This window comes from Homo sapiens, chromosome 12, assembly GCF_000001405.40.
Source record: "Homo sapiens chromosome 12, GRCh38.p14 Primary Assembly".
NCBI classification, from domain to species: Eukaryota; Metazoa; Chordata; class Mammalia; order Primates; family Hominidae; genus Homo; species Homo sapiens.
Window position 1 is genome coordinate 71,550,567 of NC_000012.12, and position 22,013 is coordinate 71,572,579.

The following is a 22,013-nucleotide window of genomic DNA, read 5'->3' on the forward strand; positions in this document are numbered from 1 at the left end:
TCTCCTGCCTCAGCCTCCCAAGTAGCTGGGACTACAGATGTGCATCACCACACCCAGCTAATTTTTTTTGTATTTTTTATAGAAATGGGGTTTCTCCATGTTGGCCAGGCTGGTCTGGAACTCCTGACCTCAGGTGATCTGCCCCCCTCAGCTTTTCAAAGTGCTGGGATTACAGGTGTGAGCCAACGGGCCCAGCCACCACTCATACTTTCAATGCATAAACGACTGGCAATGATCAGTCAACATATCAACAAAAACATAGAAGCTCATATTATTAAGTCTCTATCCTTTAATCAGTGCAATAGTTAAGGAGAGTTTACATGTGTGCTTTACTTCTAGTCAAACAAAAGCAATCACCTCTTTATCTCCTGATGAAATTATACCTTATTTGAGCATAAGCCAGGCACATTGTTGCTAGAGAAAGGAAAGAGAGATGGTGTTGAATTTTCTAAACATTTGTGGCTCCATTTGTTGACAAAACCTTAAGATGTTTGAAAGCTGTGTTTCTGTTGCTGACAATGATAGTTGTTCTATTGGAAATTTAATCGTAAATGGGGTATGACACCCAACTCTTAAAATTTGCTCCAAGTGACGTTATCTCAGCTATTATCAAAATGTGGCCCAAGGAGGGCCTTTGAGGCATCGCTTGTTCCTTCCCATTCAGTCTGTAGAAGCAGGAATCAGAAGATGATTGAAGTGGCATAGTGGCCAAAAGTGAGGAAGCTGCTTTCTATAGAAATGAGCTTCCTCCCAACAAAGAATTTCATTTCTAAATTGTTTAATTTTGGTTTGCAGGAGATTATTTTGTGATCCTGGTGTGCTTCCTGCATCTGTTTAGTCTTAAATGCTTCCAAAAACATTTTTCAAAATCCACTTCTGATTTTCTACTCCTTCCTAATACGTGGACCACTAAAATACAACTCTTCTTTTTTTTAATCCTACCTTTGAAAATGCAAATGTGTGCGTCTTAAAAGCAGATTGGGAAAAAAAACAAGTGAGAGCTGTTGGAAGCATAGTTTGAGTGATGTTGGTTCTAGTATTCATGCATCTTACAGAACATTGCAAACGATGTGAGTTTTGTCACTTCCATACGAAAAGTTAGGACCTTTAAATTATAGCCACTGTTTATGTTGGACTGGGGCAAAATAAATGTATTGCACTCCCTCTGCTGGCTTTTAGGTGGCAACAGCTCATTAACCAGACTTATTTTTAGATGTATTTCCCCATTTTAAAACAGATAAAAATGGAGTGTGGGAAAAGGAAGCAAAAGCTGGAAAGTTGTTAATTTTATTATTCATTTAAAATGTCAGAAAAACAAACATCTGCTTCATACAAATGGTTAGGATAAGCAAGAAAGCCAGCAGTTTTCAGGCCTTTCAGTGTTGTCCTAAGAAAAAGGATAGGGCCCCTTCTCTGTTTTCCCTGAGGCATGTCTCTAACAGTCTTTAAAAATGTACTCAGTTCCAGTGAGAACACGTGGACACAGAGAGGGGAACATCATACATGGGGGCCTGTCGGCAGGTGGGGGGCAAGGGGAGGGAGAGCATTAGGACAAATACCTAATGCATGTGGGGCTTAAAACCTAGATGATGTGTTGATAGGTGCAACAAACCACCATGGCACATGTATACCTATGTAACAAACCTGCATGTTCTGCACGTGTATCCCAGAACTTAAAGTAAAATAAAAAAATTAAAAATTAAAAAAAAATTACTCGGCCAGGTGCGGTGGCTCACACCTGTAATCCCAGTACTTTGGGAGGCCGAGGTGGGCAGATCGCATGAGGTCAGGAGTTCGAGACCAACCTGGCCAACATGGTGAAACCCTGTCTCTACTAAAAATGTAAAAATTAGCCAGGTGTGGTGGCAGACGCCTGTAATCCCAGCTACTCGAGAGGCTGAAGCAGGAAAATCGCTTGAACCCGGGAGGTGGAGGTTGCAGTGAGCCGAGATCGCGCCATTGCACTCCAGCCTGGGCGACAAGAGCGAGAGACTTCGTCTCAAAAAAAAAAAAAAAATTACGCAGTTCCTTCAAATACTGAAATGAAATAATCTTTTCCCAGAGCTTACTGAACAGCTTATTAGACTAGTATGTTTAGTATGTTCAAAACAGTCAGGGAAAGCAAAAACATTCCTTTGGCTTAGGGTGGGAGGAGGAAAAGGATATCTCTATGCTAGTGTCAGAAAGAAACTAAAAGATCATCACACTGAAACTCCATACCTCAGGGGAGGCCACTTCCATCCATGAGAGAACATTACCTACAAGCCTGGAAGAGAATTATAGCACCATGGAATTTTAGAGCCAGAGGACCTAGGAAGCAACAGTCTACACATGAATGAGAAGGAGAGATCATCTGGAGAGGAAAATGCTCCAGATGTCAGGGCTCTCGGGGACCCCAGGCCCTGTTCCACTCTTGTTCATCATGCATGGGGAGGGTTTTCCTGCAAAGTTGACCTTCTGCTTGGGCTTTGCTCTCTTTTCCATTCTTGCTTTCTTTCTTCCACAGGCGTCTGGATGCTAACCACATCAGCTATGTGCCCCCAAGCTGTTTCAGTGGCCTGCATTCCCTGAGGCACCTGTGGCTGGATGACAATGCGTTAACAGAAATCCCCGTCCAGGCTTTTAGAAGTTTATCGGCATTGCAAGCCATGACCTTGGCCCTGAACAAAATACACCACATACCAGACTATGCCTTTGGAAACCTCTCCAGCTTGGTAGTTCTGTAAGTTTTATTGATTTTGCTCTCTTTTAACAGTTTCTAATGTCACTGGAAGACCTTGGCCTTAAAATGCTGGCTCTTCAAAGCTCAAATGGGGACATTTTAAGGGAGGAAAACCTCCTGAGCCCCTCCCCAAAATGACTTATAAATGCTCCAATTGTGTAAATGACTTAAACAATACTTATCAATTACCTGCTAGATGCCAAGCACAGCAGGGCATACAAAGATAATGAAATATGACCTGTGCCTTAGAGAAGCCCCTTGCATGTTGCACAAGGAGTCACCGCACTGTACAGTTAGTACAGTAACCTAAGTTAAACATTCCTTATTTTAAAAAATAATTGATAATTCAGGTCAAATTGAAAGATGCTCTTCTTATTATCTAATAAGAACTTTGTGAACCCTTACCAAGGAAAGAGAAGTGAGAACAAATGATGTAACTGCTCAATGAGTTCTTTTTGCCCACTGCCCAAATAGAGCCAATTTATTAAGACAAGAGAATTGCAATAAAGAGTAACACACAAGGCCGGCACAGTGGCTCATACCTGTAATCCCAGCACTTTGCGAAGCCAAGGCGGGTGTATCACTTGAGGTCAGGAGTTCGAGGCCAGCCTGGTCAACATGGTGAAACCCCACCTCTACTAAAAGTACAAAAATTAGCTGGGCGTAGTGGCACATGCTTGTAATCCCAGCTACTAGGGAGGCTGAGGCCGGAGGATCAATTGAACCCAGGTTGCAGTGAGCCAAGATTGTGCCACTGCACTCCACCCTGGGGAAGAGAGTGAGACTCTGTCTCAAAAAAAAAGAAAAAATAGTTTAGCACACATACAGCCAGCTCAATGGAAGACTAGAGTTTTATTATTACTCAAATCAGCCTCCCTGAAAATTCAGAGGCAAGAGTTTTTTAAAGATAGTTTGGCTAGCAGGGAGCTAGGGAATGGGGAATGCTGATTTGTTGGGTCAGGGATGAAATCATAAGGGATTGAAGTTGTCCTCTTGCTCTGAGTCAGTCCTGGATGAGGGCCTTAAGACCACATGGGCCAGTTTACCCATCTGGGTGGTTCCAGCTGATCTATCAGAATGCACGGTCTGAAAAATATCTTGAACACCAATCTTATGTTTTACAATAGCGATGTTATCTATAGGAGCAACTGGGGAGGTTAGGAGTCTTGTGGCCTCTGGCTGCCTGACTCCTAAACCATAATTTCTAATCTGTGGCTAATTTGTTACTTCTACAAAGGTAGCCTGGTCCCAAGGCAAGGAGGGAGTTTGTTTCAGAAAAAGACTGTTATCATTTTGTTTCAAAGATAAACTATAAACTAAATTCCTCCCAAAGTTAGTTCAGCCTATGCCCAGGAATAGACAAGGGCAGCTTGGAGGTTAAAGGCAAGATGGAGTCGGTTAGGTCAGATCTCTTTCATTGTCATATTTTTCTCACTGTTGTATTTTTGCAGAAGTGGTTTAATTGACAGCATGTTATGCATTTGCACAGTTTTTTCCCACCATATGTCTAGATTTCATTATTTTAGTAAATCCAAAATGATTCTCAAACAAGTAATAGTTTGAAAAATAATCAGTTTTCTTTAAAAATGTAGCAGTATGACCCCCACATGTATAATATAATAACCAATCAATGAGGAAGGCTTCTTCTCACTATTTCTCTCTTTGCTTCATGCCCACCCACTGGCCCACCGCTCTCTTCAATCATTCCACTTGATGACATGTCTGTCCCTTGCACTGTAGTATATACTCCTTTGAGGGCTGGCCAATATCTTATTTATTGTTTTAGGTTCCCCTCAATCTCCTTCCTTATATGCTGCATGTAGAATATCCTCAATGAATATTACATAAATCTCACCTAAAACCAAAATTTATTTATTAGAAAAAAAATCTTAGTATGGAAGGAAAAGAATTTTTTGTGATATTAAAAAATTTCTACACTGAATTTCACATATAAAGATGATGCTACTGACCCACCAGAAGCTGGGTATGTGCTTTAATTTCTTTTCCTCCACTAGAGGAAATGGATTTACACAGATCCAGCTGTACTTTTTCACCCTATCCTCCTTAAGCCCATTTTCTAAAATCCTTTTGAGAGTTGGTCCAGTTTTCAGTTGTGCACAGCTGTTCTCACTGGCTCTGACCTAACTGACTTACCAATTGAACCAAAGATGATAATTATATACACTAATACTGTGTCAAGATAACTAATCTCCTTGGGCAGCAGAAAAATCTGATTACCATTGCCTGTGACTGAAATCATTGTTTCCTGTTGACCTGTGCTCCCGCCCTGGGAAGGTAGCCATTATAGGCCTTCATCTTTATTAGAAAATGTGCTTGCTACATCTATCCTCCAGGTGTCAATGATGGTCAGTATCTCTGCTTAACATCCTATATCCCAAAGCCATGCTGAACAAACTATGCTTACAAATATGCCTTGAGAATGTAAATTAGTTCAACCATTGTGGAATACAGTGTGGCAACTCCTCAAAGACCTAAAGACAGAACTACCATTTGACCCAGCAATCCCATTACTGGGTATATACCCAAAGGAATAGAAATCATTCTATTATAAAGACACATGCATGTGTATGTTCACTGCAGCCCTATTCACAATAGCAAAGATGTGGAATCAGCTGAAATGCCCATCAATGATAGACTGGATAAAGAAAATATGGTACATATACACCATGGAATACTATGCAGCCATAAAAAAGAACAAGATCATGTCCTTTGCAGGAACATGGATGGAGGCCATTATCCTTAGCAAACTAACACAGGAACAGAAAACCAAATACTGAATGTTCTCACTTAGAAGTGGGAGTTAAATGATGGGAGCACACATGGACACACAGAGGGGAACAACACACGCTGGGGCCTCTCAGAGGGTGGAGGGTGGGAGGAGGGAGAAGATCAGGAAAATAACTAATGGGTACTAGGCTTAATACCTGGGTGATGAAATAATCTTTACAATAGACCCCCATGACACAAGTTTACCTACATAACAAACCTGCACATGCACCCCTGAACTTAAAAATTAAAAAAAAAAACAGCCTTGAAACCCAAAGTTACTTATATCAATTATGTTCCTCATATTATTATACACACCCTGATGTCCTGAAGCTAAAAGGTAAAAAACTGTGACTGTCTTTTAAATTCTGTGGTATAGAATCATCTGTGGTATGAGTGAATGCAGCATATAGCCATTTTTTACATTGGCTTCTTATAAGTAGTGCATTCTTCAGTATATGTTTCTTTGGATTTAAGCTATCAAAATGTTAAGTGTGGTCTGTGCAGTGTGCCTTCCTAACTATCTGTAATGTTCTACTGCAGACATCTCCATAACAATAGAATCCACTCCCTGGGAAAGAAATGCTTTGATGGGCTCCACAGCCTAGAGACTTTGTGAGTTGACCTTTTATTTGTTTCCCTTTTTTCAGTATTTTCATGAATATTCTGAAGAATCAAAATAGCCTTAAAGCCAGACTTTGTTTGGTTTGGTTAATTGCCTAAGCTTTCAACAGATATTTACAGTGGCATTATCTTACACACACAACCCCCACAGAGCTAAACAATAAAACTGGGATTTTATTTTAATCTAATGAGAGTGATAAATTAGTTAGAATCATTATAAATTAAATGAGATGTTCTCTACTAAGCAGTGACTATTTGCTTAGAAATGTGTAGTCTCTGTCAAGGATCACTCAGGCTCACTGTTCATGAGTCTGGTACTCCCTGCTGAATGAGAGGATGCAGGCCAGGCCAATGCCTGCGTCTTCAATCTCAGATGAACAGGCATCTCTTTAGGAAACAGTGATGGCTCATGCTAAAGCAATTCAAAAGATGAAAAAGGGACTGGGCGTGGTGACTCATGCCTGTAATCCTAACACTTGGGAAGCCAATGCGGGAGGATCGCTTGAGCCCAGGAATTTGAGGCTGCAGTGAGCTGTGACCATGCCACTGCACTCCAACCTGGGTGACAGAGCAAGACCTTGTCTCAAAAAAAGAAAAAAGAGTGAAAAGTAATAGTAGCTACTATTTATTGAATATATCTATAATCAAATATTGCACTGAGCATTTGGCATACATTGTTTTAATTACTTCTTACAGCCATCCTATGAGAGCAGATATTACTATCCCATTTTAGGCTCTAGTGAGGTAAAGTTATTACATATCTAGTCAGTAGCAGAACTGAGATTTGCTTTCTCCTCTAGTCTGATTCTGAAATCCATGTTTACTACTACATACTACTTCCAAAGAATAAGTCAAAAGTTCAGTTCTTAATTGGTACCTATAGTAAAAATAGAGTCAAGCCAGCGGACCATATCCTAGACACTCTCACAGAGCCAAGGTAGAGGTTCTTGTGGGCCACACCAGGGCCCCAGGCTTTTCCCAGGGGAGGAGCTGCTCTTCATTGCCCTGTTGAGAAAGGTGTGATGAGACTGAGGTGATAGGCAGGGAGGGTCCTGAGTGTGCTGGGAGAGGAGGGTAGTTGCAGCCATGACACCATCCCTACCCTCACATTTTTAATGCTCAAATGCAATAAACCACACAGGTCACTGAATCTGCAGTGCTGGCTCTGACCAGAACTGCAAAAGGAAAAGACCAAAGACCACTTCTCCTGTGCCCTTGGGGCCCACTGTTCATTTGCACACAGAGCTTAGGAATTTGTTCATGATCAATTCAGCTTCTAACCAGATCTGGGTTACTAATTTCCTGAGGGACCCTGTGTTGGTGGTATTCTTCTAGCCTATGAGCACTAACAGCTCTTTCCAGGGTTAAGTCACCCTGTGTTTCTTCTTACGTGGCAAAGATGGACTTGTCCAGGGAGGACCTTTATGTCAACTTAATGGCATAGACAAGCAGTTCCCATCAGCTGCTAGGAAAAATTAGAACTCTTATCTACAAAACGCTGGGCTCAGAAATCTCAGCAATGGAAATCACCTTCCAGCCCTTTTGAACAATAACAGGAATGAAAAACAAGATGGGCTTTGATGGGTATTTCCATAAATAGTCTTTTTTTTCCCCTCAATGTTTGGGGTAAGGACCCAGGATTGCATGTAAATAACATAGAGCAAAACATGTCAGGGAAAAGTTCATGTGAGTCTTATTGTCTCCCCTTCCTCTACCTTGCCCAGGGCTACAGAGGATAAGCAATTTGGTTATTCCCAGCCTCTTCCTTTCCCTACTAGAAATCCAAGTAATTTATAAGGGTCCAATCCTTGTTTAATCAAAACAGAGCATCTGGAGAGATTTACAAACAGGAAGAAAATTTATGTCTACAAAAGACATGCATTTCCTGCCTGCAGTATAGCTTAAGGATGGTTTGTGCCAGACAAGTAGGAACCTTGATTCATGTTTAACTCAGTCAAATTATCTCTCTCTTTAAATTAAATAGCAATTCTCCACAGAGGAGGATCTAACCACATCTGATTGCCTGACGAAAAGGTTTTTCTGCGTCATCTGGGAAATCTGCCATTCCCAGAGACCAGGAGGCAATTACTTTTTCATACGAAGATCTAGATATAAGGTAGAGTAAGTCTGTAAAGCACTTGTGAGTAATGAAATTGAAAAGCCAATTGTGCTATAACAGATACAGAAACTAATGATTTGAGATAATTTGACCACTTCATCTCTGGCCTTGAGGGATAACATAGAGCTTTGCTGCACAGATCAAGGAAAACATCCTATTTCTGAATTATTTGTGACTCCTTGAAGAAATTCTAGACCAAATGTCCTTTCTGAGATTACCCTGTCTCACATAAACCTCTCCAGAAGCAAGGTTCATCCTGGACTTCAGGCTAGGAGGGATGTGGGAACCCTGTGAAAGTCAAGGACAAAGCAGCCCTGCAAGATTTCATGTCACAAGGGAGTGAAGGAGGGAACAAGAAAAGGGATGTGATCCAGGAGCCCTGAGGAGTGCAAATTCACGCTGGCCAATTAGTGAGCCCGGTTCAGTTGAAGAGCTCCATCCGCCAGCCGTCAACACCTGGCCAAAGAGACATCTCTCCTACTTAGAAGTTAATACTCCTGCACACTCCCTTTCTTTTTTAGACGCCCCAGTGCCATTGAGTCCTGACTCTCAAATTTCTCATGATTAGTCAAATGACCATTTTAACGCAGATACTTATAGAATGTTGGTAGTCAGCAAGCCAAGAAAATCTCTTTCCATAAAGAAAAGCAGTGAGAACTTCCATTAGTCATATGGGTTCCTTGGAATAGCATGTTAACTTTCCTTGTAAATAGAGTATATATGAAGTTTTAAATAAAAAACTGAAAATACTATGTACTCATTTTCAGAGATTTAAATTACAATAACCTTGATGAATTCCCCACTGCAATTAGGACACTCTCCAACCTTAAAGAACTGTAAGTATTTAGGACAATTTTAATGGGAGAACTTTATCCTTTTGTGAATTTATTTAAAAATACATGTGATTGTTTTACATAATATGACTTGCTAGAAAATTTTAAGTTTATATAAATAATGATAAAGTACACTTGAAATATATTTTAATTGATTCTATCTCTAGCAAATACCAGATAATATTTTTTATTTATGCGGGGTTTTTCTAACATATATATTAAAAAAACATATATTTCTGTAAGTCATATTCTTTTCTCTTTTTCTAAGCCATACATACTCTCCCACCATTTATGTACTTTATAGATTTGTAGATTTTTAGTAGTAGAACTAAAATGGAATTTAATTGCTGAGCATTTCTGAGAACTTGAACATTTCTGGGTTGCATAAGTCTAGAAATAAATGAATCAAACTGTCTGTGCCTAGTAAAGTATGAGATGCATTCACATACATTGCAGCTGACCCTTGAACAACTAGGGGTTAGGGACAACAACCCTTGCACAGTAGAAAATCCATGTATAACTTTTGACTTCTTAAAAACTTAACTACTAATAGTCTAATGTTGGCCAGAAGCCTTATCAATAATATAAACAGTCTATTAACACATATTTTGTATATGTATTTTGAACTATATTCTTATAATAAAGTAAGCTAGAGAAAAGAAAATGTTATTTAAAAAATTCTAAGAAACAGAAAATATATTTACTATTTATTAAGTGGAAGTATATCATCATAAAGGTCTTCATCCCTGTCATCTTCACATTGAGGAGGCTGAGGAGGAAGAGGAAGAGGAGATGTTTGTCTCGTTATCCCAGGGGTGGCAAAGGCAGAAGAAACCCCACATATAAGTGGAGCCATGCAGGCCAGCTCAATGGGTCATGCCTGTAATCCCCGTGCTTTGGGAGGCCGAGGCAGGCAGATTACTCGAGGCCAGGAGTTCGAGACCAGCCTGGCCAACATGGTGAAACCCCGTCTCTACTAAAAATACAAAAATTGGCTGGGCCTCGTGGCACATGCCTATAATCCCAGCTTCTTGGAAGGCTGAGGCACGAGAATTGCTTTGAACCAGAGGGGCGGTGATTGCAGTGAGCCGAGATTGCACCACTGCACTCCAGCCTGGGAGACAGAACAAGATTCTGTCTCAACAACAACAAAGAAAAGTGGATCCAGGCAGTTTAAATCCATTTTGTGCAAGGGTCAGCTGTATTTCATTTGTAAATGTTCAATGAATCTTATTTAATTCTAAAACCCCACAATTTTACTAAAGAAAAGCTGACTTTCAGCCATTGGTTTGCATATACTGCCTTTTAGATGATAAAATTTAATTAGCTTTTTCATATCTAAAAAGATAAATAATCTATGTTAGTAATGTTCTAACACTTGGAAAGGAAAATAAACACTGAACCTCATTCCCCTAGCAGTGAGAAATAAGACATACAGCTAAAGGAGACACAGAGGAGCTTGTTTATAAGAAAAACCCTTAGGGTGTTCTGACTTAGGAAACCCCATGTGTGGCTTAGCTGGGCAGTGGCTTCATGGCATGGGGTCACCTCATACAGCCACAGGCCCAAATAAGCTCCAAAGATCATTGAACCTGCTTCTCAGCCATTCAGACAACATCAACAACAACAGATGACAATCAGCTTATAACTACAGATTCACTGAGCCAGGGCACCTTTCTTCAAGTCAGAAAATTTTGTCCTCATAAGGAGACTACTTAAATCTTTACTTCACTGCAGCTTAAGTCAATTTTCTCTTCTAGCTTCAAATGGGGTCAGTAGGAGTGATCATAATCTCTCCAAAAATGGTTTCCACTCTCTCAGGCTTTTATACAATGATGCTCTATTGGATATTAACAGATTTTCTTCTTATAACATTAGATTGTAAGTTTCCATGAAGTGCAGTTATTATTTTCAGATTCTTTATTTCTCTTTTAAGATGACAGCACATGACTTTTTTTATCCTCTAGAGAGTAAATAACGGCACCTAAGTTTCAAGATGCATAGAGGAATTTAATATTGTCCTCTGGTTACTAAAGGTTCTGATTATTGCCACTGTGGTCAGGGTGGGGGCCTCTATTAAATAATTTTACCCCACACAGGATTTTTTATAATTTTTTTTCTCTTTCTAGAGGATTTCATAGCAACAATATCAGGTCGATACCTGAGAAAGCATTTGTAGGCAACCCTTCTCTTATTACAATGTAAGTGACCATAATGCTTTTCGGTTTCTCCATCCTGAAATATAGCATATATTATACTTTGAAATACAATGAATATTCTATATTTGCCTGAGTTTTGTCTTAGTCAATCTAAGAGTTCATACAGAAAGGTATATACACATGCATTTTGCCAGGTTCTAGCTGAACACTGAAATAATATAAAAGATTTTTTTAAAGATCACATTATGATTGGTATCTCCAGATGTGCTAGGTATCTTTAAAATAATCTTGTAAAATGCTTTTGATTACCTCTATTTTCTAAGAAATAAAACTGATTTTTAGAGCATTAATGTCAAGTCTGCATAGTCATTCTGAACTTAAACCCGAGTATACTAGAAATATAAATTATTATATACAAATGGATGTCTTTTACAGCAATAGACTCCAGCCTAAATTGATGGTAGGGGTTTTATACTGTTTTGTGCTAAGCCTCTATCTCCATTCATTATTATGCCCAAACATTCACATTTATACAAACTAGGATGTAATTCTAGAATGATAAATAACATTTTAGAAAGGTGTGTATGAGGATTTATATGCCATAAAAGAATAAAATCGGCCAGGCACTGTGGCTCATGCCTGTAATTCTAACACTTTGGGAGGCCAATGCAGGAGGATCACTTGAGCTCAAGAGTTGGAGGTTACAGTGAACTATGATCATGCCTCCGAAGTCTATCATGGGCAACAGAGCCCTGTCTCCAACAAAAGGATAAAATAGAGTTACAACTACAAAGTATAACTAATTTTATGTTTCATATTTAATACAGTAGAATGATGATATACAGTTCTGAGTATGAGGCTGGCTCTTAGACAAAAGGCTCCTCTCGGAGGCAGATTTGGGACACCATCAAACCTGAGGTTGTGAATGAGAAGCCTGAATATAGAGGAGGAGAGTAAGGACAACTGTTAAACATGACTCTAGGGGCACTTCTCAGCAGATGTTGGTCCTGTGCCAACTGGAGTGACGGGCTTTCTGGGACCATGTGGTATTTGTCACAAATGAGCAGGAGTCCCAATTAGCCTTGACAACCAGAAGAAAAAAACTATTCATTGTTTCTGAAATGTTCTGGCAATATTTTGGCAAACTAAGAGTTTTAAAGTACATTGACAATAAACATTAGCCCTCATTAGAGCGTATTTGCGTATTAAGAGGTTGGCAAATTACATTGCCTTTGCTCCTCCTTCTGCAGCCACAGTACTGGTTTTTCATCACTCTTTTGATATGCTAATACTCCCTGAGGAACTAGCGGCGCCAACCCCAACTCTATATATATTAGACCTCCTATCCACTATTTGACAGTGGTGACCACTTTCTCCCATAAACTCTCCTCTCCTTGCTCCTGCATCTGTTTCCATCTCTTCAAAGCCCGCATTTCTGTGAATGCTTTCCAGGTCCAGTTGGCTACCCACTCCTCATTTCCACCTCTGTAGTCCCCATCCTATCCATACCTCCTGACCTCCACTGCACCAGCCTCTCTGCCAACCATGACATCCAGATTTTCACCAGTCTGCGTGAGGCTGGCCTCCCTCCCTTCACCGTTGGCAGCACTCATCTTCCTTGAAGCACGGCAACCATCTTGTTACTTCTGCTGTGAAATGTGCGTTCAGGATGTCTATTTACACTAAATGCAAACTCCTCATCCTGACATTCACAGTCTAAGGCCACACATGGCCTAAGCCAACCCTGTCAACCAGTTCCCCAAAGCTCTCCTCATTCACCCTAATTCATAAACCAGACTGACTAAGTTATGTTCACGGAACAAAGCTCTTTTCTTACTTCCTTTGCTCCTACGATCCCATTCCCTCACTATGCTTCTTGAAATTCTTTCAGGGCCCATTTTAAAAGCCATTTCTTGAAGTTTTTTATAATCTCTCCCGAACATATGAGAGAGTTCCCTCCTGAGAACCCTAAAACTCCTTATGTGTGTTTATGATACTTCTGCCTTATGCACACAAGCATGTATATTCATACCTGCCCAGTGTGTGTGTGTGTGTGTGTGTGTATATAGTGTGTATATATATACTGTGTGTATACATATACATATATACATATATATGTACACACACACCGTGTATATATGCATATATACGTATCTGTACACACGCACTGTGTATATATGCATATATACGTATCTGTACACACGCACCGTGTATATATGCATATATACGTATCTGTATACACGCACCGTGTATATATGCATATATACGTATCTGTACACACGCACCGTGTATATATGCATATATACGTATCTGTACACACGCACCGTGTATATATGCATATATACGTATCTGTACACACGCACCGTGTATATATGCATATATACGTATCTGTACACACGCACCGTGTATATATGCATATATACGTATCTGTACACACGCACCGTGTATATATGCATATATACGTATCTGTACACACGCACCGTGTATATATGCATATATACGTATCTGTACACACGCACCGTGTATATATGCATATATACGTATCTGTACACACGCACCGTGTATATATGCATATATACGTATCTGTACACACGCACCGTGTATATATGCATATATACGTATCTGTACACACGCACCGTGTATATATGCATATATACGTAACTGTACACACGCACCGTGTATATATGCATATATACGTATCTGTACACACGCACCGTGTATATATGCATATATACGTATCTGTACACACGCACCGTGTATATATGCATATATACGTATCTGTACACACGCACCGTGTATATATGCATATATACGTATCTGTACACACGCACTGTGTATATATACATATATGTACACACACTGTATATATACATATATACATATATGTACACACACTGTATATATACATATATACATATATGTACACACACTGTATATATATACATATATACATATATGTACACACTGCATATATACATATATACATATATGTACACACACTGTATATAGATACACATATATGTACACACACACTGTGTATATATACACATATATGTGCACACACTGTATATATACATATATAAATATATGTATACCCACACACTATATATACATATATGTGTATATATACATACGTATGTGTATATATACGTATGTGTGTATATATACGTGTGTATATATATATACGTACATGTATGTGAACACAATTATATGCATAAAGTACATGGTATAGCTAAGAGCTGATAAGATATTAAGAGGAAAGCTCCATTTTTCATCATAAGGCCCATATTCCAGCTCTAGCTCTTTCTCTTACTGATTAATCCCAAGAGAAAAGAAGAGCTCAGTGGGTAGGACAGAAGAGGATTTAGGTTTGTTGGGTAGCAACTGTATCCCAGGTTCTATTTCAAATGTTACACATGCATTAGCTCTTTTAATTCTTATCCAAACCCTACCACTAAGCATTATTATCTCAGCTTAACAAATTAGAAAATTGAGGCTCTAGGAGGTAATGAGCTTGCCAAGGTGTCTGAGCCTCAATTTTCTCTTCCAAAAGTGAAGAAAATAGTATCTACACTATGAATCTCATAAAGTTGTTGCATGGATCAATTGAGCTATATATATATATATATATATAGCTCATATATAGACATATATACATATACATATATATATATATATAACACATACATATATGCAAGAGCTTTGTTAAGTAGAAAGTGATATGCTGTTATTTATTTGCTTTATCCCAACTGAATCCAGGCTCCTTTACCACAGGAACATCTTATCATTCTTCTTCAAACCCCCAGCATCTAGTATAATGCCAAGTCCAAAGTAGTTACCCAATGACAGCTTTTTAATGAATCAATCTTTAAATCCTCACATACCTACCCTCATACTTTAAACGTGGTAGACATTAGTGAATATTTGTTGAGTTTAATTGGACTAGAAGAATGACTCAGCTAAAAAGTATATGGCACTCCATTGACCAGGCAGTTCAAATACCACTACATTGAAAACATCTGTAAAACAAAATATTTTTTAATCTCTAATAATGTCTCACCTTTTAAAACAATAATTAATTCAAGAAAATTCTAATTTTAGACATATGCCAGAATAGCTCATTTCCTCTCCAATAATCTGATGAGTCTCTTGTGTATGTTATGGTGACCAGCAGATATAATAACCTTCAGTTGATATCGATAGATAGACTTCGTCTTTCATTAAGTAATGATCTGATTGCCAGTACTTTGAATTACCTTTTTGCCACTCAATGGATATTCTACAGATGTTGGAGGGAGAGGAAACTGTTAAGTATTCAATTTACTTGCTTTTCTCCTTAGTAACTATCACTCATATCTCCCTTGTTGTCAGAAATCTTCAATTTTATATAGTACAGATTCCTTACCAAAAATCTCATACTGCGAGTCAAAACACTTTTGAGGCTTGCCTGAAACCAAGGAATTGGGAATGTTATGTAATACAGTATAATTAAAATTACATAAGTACATTTACTGTATTTGTTCAAATTTTGAACAGATATTCATCTTTCAAATTTTATACTAAGATATTAATTGCTGTTTGGGTTTCTTTTAGACATTTCTATGACAATCCCATCCAGTTTGTTGGGAGATCTGCTTTTCAACATTTACCTGAACTAAGAACACTGTAAGTTTCTATGTCTCTTATGGATCACTTTCCCTCTACAGGGTTGCTGTGAAAAACCAAATGAATATTATAGGTTGAAGTGCTTTGAAAATGGCAATAAAAATTACCCCTGTCTAGAATCTTCTACCAGTAATACTTATATACTCCTCTTTCTAGGACTCTGAATGGTGCCTCACAAATAACTGAATTTCCTGATTTAACTGGAACTGCAAACCTGGAGAGTCTGTAAGTACTGAGTAGACTCTTGACTTTGCCCAGAACATACACTGCCATTAGAGCTTGATCAGTCTTAACATCAGTGAGTCAAAATATGTCACTGTGTGATGCCTGAATGAAAGAATTATGTCTGGTTTGTGTTTTAACAGGACTTTAACTGGAGCACAGATCTCATCTCTTCCTCAAACCGTCTGCAATCAGTTACCTAATCTCCAAGTGCTGTGCGTATCAGTAAGGCAATAATGTTGTGTAAACAGGCAACTTCCATTTAGGGGTGAAATGGCAGACATGATTTCAATAATCTCTTTAAAAGAGGAGAAAGTTTTTCCTTTCAGGTCTGCAGGAGGTCAAGCCTCCTTTGCCCTCTTTGGTCCAGGCTCTCTGACATGATCCTGGTAACAAATGGTAATGTACCCTTTGTTTTCTAAGTCCCAAACAAGCTCCCACTAGACTTTCAGTTGGCACATGTTTTCTTTCAGAAAAGATATGAAGAGGCCAAAATCACTTTATTTCCCCCTCTAAAGGCTTTGCAGAGCAGAACAAAATAACATAATGGATCAACCACCCAATATGGATGCCAAAATCAAAAACTGAGATCTCAGATCCACACAATCCTTGATAAAGGTGATCAAACATCCTTCCAGTATAGTTGTCAATGCCATGTTCTAATGTTTCCTGTAATGGTTAAACAGCTTGCATATGTTATTTCTATTGACTTGGGACTTTTTTCCTCTGCCTTTCCCATGTGTTATGAAAAAAAGTAGTTTACATGGATTCAAGGAGACTTGTTTTGACCTTCCATTTTTCAGCCTTCTCCCTCAACTTCCACTCAACACAATCATTGTCCTCTCAAGCATGTTGGGACTTAATAAAAGGACTCTTAATCTTTTGCCATGGCTCTGCACTCACATAGAAGGCACCTGTGGCAATTGAGCGCCTGCAATTTCACTATAAGCTTTACTTAGCAGCACTCAGAATGTTAAGTAGATAAACGGGAATGGCTGCCTCTGTGATTCTGCCTTTCCCCAGCCCCAGCCTGCCGTGTCACTTCAGACTCCAGTTGCTCAATGATATGTGGGTGCAGTGACACCACATGGTAGCCTTGGAGTCAGTGATTCACATCTGAAGAAAGGGAGTATAGAGCAAATCTTTCTTTGCCCTACCCCATCCCACCCCATGAAGTGCAGCTACAGATAAGAAAGCAGTATTAGAGAATTTAATTTGTTAAAATCACAAAGCAAGAAAGAAGCGAGTTTGAATTCAAATACAATCAATTTGATTGAATAACTGGGAGAAAGTGTGTGTATATCAGGTGGTAGAAATTTGGGGGGCCATGTTAGAATTCTGCCTACCACACCCAGAACAGGTATAATCATCCCCATTTCTCCAGAAAACTGGCGCAGTTATATGATTAGGATTTTACATACTGGAGCTAGTAAGTAAGGAACCAGTGTTTAAACTGCATCTCTCTCTGCTATGTCACACAATGAGTGGTAACCACTCAGGTCTAGAACTGCATGAATGGAGGCTCACTGGCAAAATGACTTTAAAAGCAAAGGCTGTGGAGCCAACTTTTCTGGTTCAAATCCAAGCTCTCTATATGCCAGCACAGGATCTTGAGCACATTATTATTCCTCCTGGAGCTCAGTTTCCCAGTCTATAAAAGGAGATGTAGCCACTTCCTTCAGAGGGTTCTCATGAGGACTGATTAAATGACTACATGTCAAACAGTTACAGCAGCACCTGGGACACTGTAACTCTCAGTCAGTGTTAACTTTTATCATCTTTCTCACTTCCCTGGAACCATTATTCTTTCCTTGAGTTGGAACTTGAAAAGCCGGGAGGAATACACATAACATTCATAGTAGATCTTGCCATTTTCAAAGCATTTTCACCTATAATATTCATTTGTTCTTCCCAATGACCCTGCAAAATGGTGTCTTCTCATTTAGGAGAACTGAGAAAGATACCAATGCTTAGCTAGTGTATCAACCAAGTAGAATTAGCTGAAGTTGAGACTAGAACCCCAGAGCCTCACCCCTAGTACAAGGTGCTTTATGTTCTCCTGGGGGTATAGATCTGAGAGCTCTCCCCTTTGGCTAACTCATCCACTGAGTACTTGTTACATGAGGAAATTTCACTGTACATGACTAGTTTTGCGTCATGTGCATGGGAATTATTTAGCCCATTCTGTAGGTTATGTGTAACTTTCCCCACTTACTAGCTGGTCAGCTTAGGCAAGTCATTTCATATTGTATGGGTAGAATTATGGTGTCTCCCTCATAAGGTAGCCACAGGAATTAAACCAGATAATTCAAGTAAAGCTATAAACATGGTACCTTTATATAAGAAGTGCTTGGCAATGGGCAAAGGATTCCCTGTTTAATAAATGGTGCTGAGAGAACTGGCTAGCCATATGCAGAAAATTGAAACTGGATCCCTTCCTTACACCTTATACAAAAATTAACTCAAGATGGATTAAGACTTAAATGTAAAACTTAAAATATAAAAACCCTAGAAGAAAATCTAGTCAATGTCATTCAGGACATAGGCATGGGCCAAGATTTTATGATGAAATCGCCTAAAGCAATTGCAACAAAAGCAAAAATTGACAAATGGGATCTAATTAAACTAAAGAGCTTCTGCACAGCAAATGAAACTATCATCAGAGCGAACAGACAACCTACAGAATAGGAGAAAATTTTTGCAATCTATCCATCTGCCAAGGGGCTAATATCCAGAATCTACAAGGAACTTAAGCAAATTTACAAGAAAAAAACAACCCCATTAAAACGTGGGCAAAGGATATGAACAGACACTTCTCAAAAAAAAAGACATACATGCAGCCAACAAACAGATGAAAAATAGTTCAACATCACTGATCATTAGAGAAATGCAAGTCAAAACCACAATGAGATACCATCTCACACCAGTCAGAATGGCAATTATTAAAAAGTCAAGAAACAACAAATGCTGGCAAGGTTGCAGAGAAATAGGAATGCTTTTACACTGTTGGTGGGAATATAAATTAGTTCAACCATTGTGGAAGACAGTATGGCAATTCCTTAAATATTTAGAACCAGAAATACCATTTGACCCAGCAATCCCATAACTGGGTATATACCCAAGGGAATAGAAATCATTGTATTATAAAGATATATGCCCATGTATGTTCATTGAAGCACTATTCACAGTAGCAAAGACATGGAATCAACCCAAATGCCCACCAATGATAGACTGGATAAAGAAAATGTGCTACATATACACCATGGAATACTATGCAGCCATAAGAAGAAATCAGATCATGTCCTTTGCAGGGACATGGATGAAGCCGGAAGTCATTATTCTCAGCAAACTAATGCAGGAACAGAAACCAAACATTGCAAGTTCTCACTTGCAAGTGGGAGCTGAGCAATGAGAACACATGGACACAGGGAGAGAAACCACACTTAACTGGGCCTTGCCGGGGGAGGGTGGGAAGGGGAAAGCATTAAGGAAAAAAGCTAATGCGTCCGGGGCTTAATACCTAGGTGATGGGCTGATAGGTGCAGTAGACCACCATGGCACACGTTTACCTACGTAACAAACCTGTACATTCTGCACATGTACCCCAGAATTTTAAAAAAATAAAATAATTTTTTTTAAAGTGCTTGGTCAGTGTTAGCCCTGAAAATCATTAGGTAGAAGGCAACACTATGCCTTTATGTAGAAGGTCTTTTGTTCCCTCTATTAAGAGGTAGACAATGAAGGAGTATCCCCTTTGCAGCCTGCAGAGATGAGTAAACCAATTATCAGCTTTGATAATATGTGTGTCCATTTTATTATATTCGCTATTTTTCAAAAATACATACCATATTAATAATCAGGTATATTTGTGCATAGGTGTGAGATTTTGGAGGTATTGGGTGGGGGGGTATCTTTCAAACCTTCAGAAAGTTACAAATTTGGATTTACAAGCAGCTTCATTTGTACTATTTATGCGGAGTAAATGGACTTTATTCCTTTATAAATCCCATTTATTCAATAAATGTAGGATAAAGTGATCAATTATAAGACTAATTTGAAGCCCCTTAGAAAAAGTATGATTTTTCCCATTGCATAGTGGTGATCTGGTTTTAAGAATTAGAATCAGGCATGAAAATGTGTTAGTTGATTAGCTGATAACTTTTAAAACATGAAACAAAATTGTTCTTATATATCTATGTTACGTTATCTACCAACTTTCTTTTCTTTCAAGCTTTCGCAAATTATGATGGCTTGCTTTAGATTAGTTATATTATACTATAAATATGTCCAGATGTTTTTGTTATTCTGTAATTTGTTGAATTTTGGCTGAAGATTTTCTTAGATTCCGTTCCCCCACCTCCTTCTTGTAGTGATTGATTTCAAAGCTCCTGCTATGTTTTGAATTGTTAGGTTTTTTTAAAGAGTTGATTAGAAAAGAAACAACAATGATTTGTCTGAGCTGTAGAGATGTAGCAGCTCTTAGAGACAGAGGCACAATTATTTAATTTAATTTGTTCTCATTGCAGTAAGATAATAGCTAGAGCATTTAGAGAAGTACTAACAAAATATAAATGAATTCATTAAGTAAACTATTTAAATCAATTAAAGAAGTATAACAGTTACATTTCAGTAAACATTTGAATCTACTGGTTAATCCAATAATGGCTGTGACTACCTGCTCCATGTCAGGGCTATGAAAATGTTCAGAGTCTGCCTTTGGGAGATATAACATCTTGGAGGGAAAAGGAGAGCAAAGCATGTTTCTTTATGATTTATTTGTAACAGATTTTCCCTTTTTGCACCTTCTGTTTTTCAGAGATCTGTCTTACAACCTATTAGAAGATTTACCCAGTTTTTCAGTCTGCCAAAAGCTTCAGAAAATGTAAGTCTAGAAGTCTCTAAGTCACCTAGCAAAAATCAAGAATCAAAACTCACATTTCTCAGGGTCACTGGTTCATTTACCCTGTGGTTCACTGGGGAGACATGTGATCCTTTTCCTTCTTACACACACAAGGTGTGACTGTGCAGTGTGCTTAGAAAGTTGAGAAACATAGATAATATTATTTTTTCATGCACTGTACCATATTAGTAAAACATTTATTATATATCCGCTTTTTTCTCCCCCTAACTCAGGGTACTAGTGAATTGGGTGTGTTTGGGCTTTGAAATTTTTCTTATTTTAGAAGTACAACCAAACTTACATATCCAATGAGTGGTGTTATTTTTTAATATGTGGGGACTTGGGTTTGTTGGTGTGTTTGTTTCACAATAGTCAACTTTAGGGGAAGGCCATATTTGTCATATTTAAAGTGCTACAGATGGTACTTATGCATGAAACTCTTTAGAATTCCTCTCTTAACATTGCCTCCCCTACAAAACATCAGCCTTTTTTTTTTTTTTTCTCAAGATGGAGTCTCGCTCTGTCGCCCAGGCCGGAGTGCATGGCGTGATCTCGGCTCACTGCCACCTCTGCCTTGTGGGTTCAAGCAATTCTCCTGCCTCAGCCTCCCGAGTAGCTGGGATTACAGGCACCCATCACCATGCCTGGCTAATTTTTTGCATTTTTACTAGAGACGAGGTTTCATCATGTTGGCCAGGCTGCTCTCGAACTCCTGACCTCATGACCTGCCCATCTCAGCCTCCCAAAGTGCTGCGATTACAGGCGTGAGCCACCGCGCCCGGCCAAACTTGTTGTTTTATAGTCACACTTCAGTTTTGATCAAAACAATATTCACCATCTATCCCTTCACATTTAGTTTTTCTCTCAATGCCTTTGGGTGCTTAAGGGAAAAAAACAAAGCAAATCCATCTGTAAAAGGTAAAGAATTTACCCTCCTGAAGACCCTCAAAGAATCCAAGGGAGGCTCAGAAGGCAGCACTAG

At 38.9% G+C, this 22,013-nt stretch overlaps 1 protein-coding gene and 1 long non-coding RNA gene across 7 annotated transcripts in view; one reads left to right on the top strand and one right to left on the bottom strand.

Annotated features, from left to right (window-relative positions):
• Positions 1–22,013, top strand: part of LGR5 (leucine rich repeat containing G protein-coupled receptor 5) — a 147,182-nt gene that overhangs the window by 111,438 nt on the left and 13,731 nt on the right. For 2 of the 6 annotated variants that reach the window (XM_047429800.1, NM_003667.4), the window contains exons 5-12: positions 2,507–2,722; positions 6,053–6,124; positions 9,020–9,088; positions 11,215–11,286; positions 15,838–15,909; positions 16,066–16,134; positions 16,275–16,346; positions 20,948–21,013. In XM_047429800.1, the coding sequence (XP_047285756.1) occupies positions 2,507–2,722; positions 6,053–6,124; positions 9,020–9,088; positions 11,215–11,286; positions 15,838–15,909; positions 16,066–16,134; positions 16,275–16,346; positions 20,948–21,013 (708 nt within the window). Of the gene's footprint in view, positions 1–2,506; positions 2,723–6,052; positions 6,125–9,019; positions 9,089–11,214; positions 11,287–15,837; positions 15,910–16,065; positions 16,135–16,274; positions 16,531–16,649; positions 16,750–20,947; positions 21,014–22,013 lie in introns of all 6 variants that reach the window. The other 4 variants (NR_110596.2, NM_001277226.2, NM_001277227.2 and 1 more) reach the window with 4 other exon arrangements.
• LOC105369833 (uncharacterized) overlaps positions 1–22,013 on the bottom strand; it is a 47,788-nt gene that overhangs the window by 23,159 nt on the left and 2,616 nt on the right. The window contains exon 2 of the long non-coding RNA XR_001749200.2: positions 21,067–21,163. This is a non-coding gene — a long non-coding RNA (uncharacterized LOC105369833). The remainder of the gene's footprint in view (positions 1–21,066; positions 21,164–22,013) is intronic.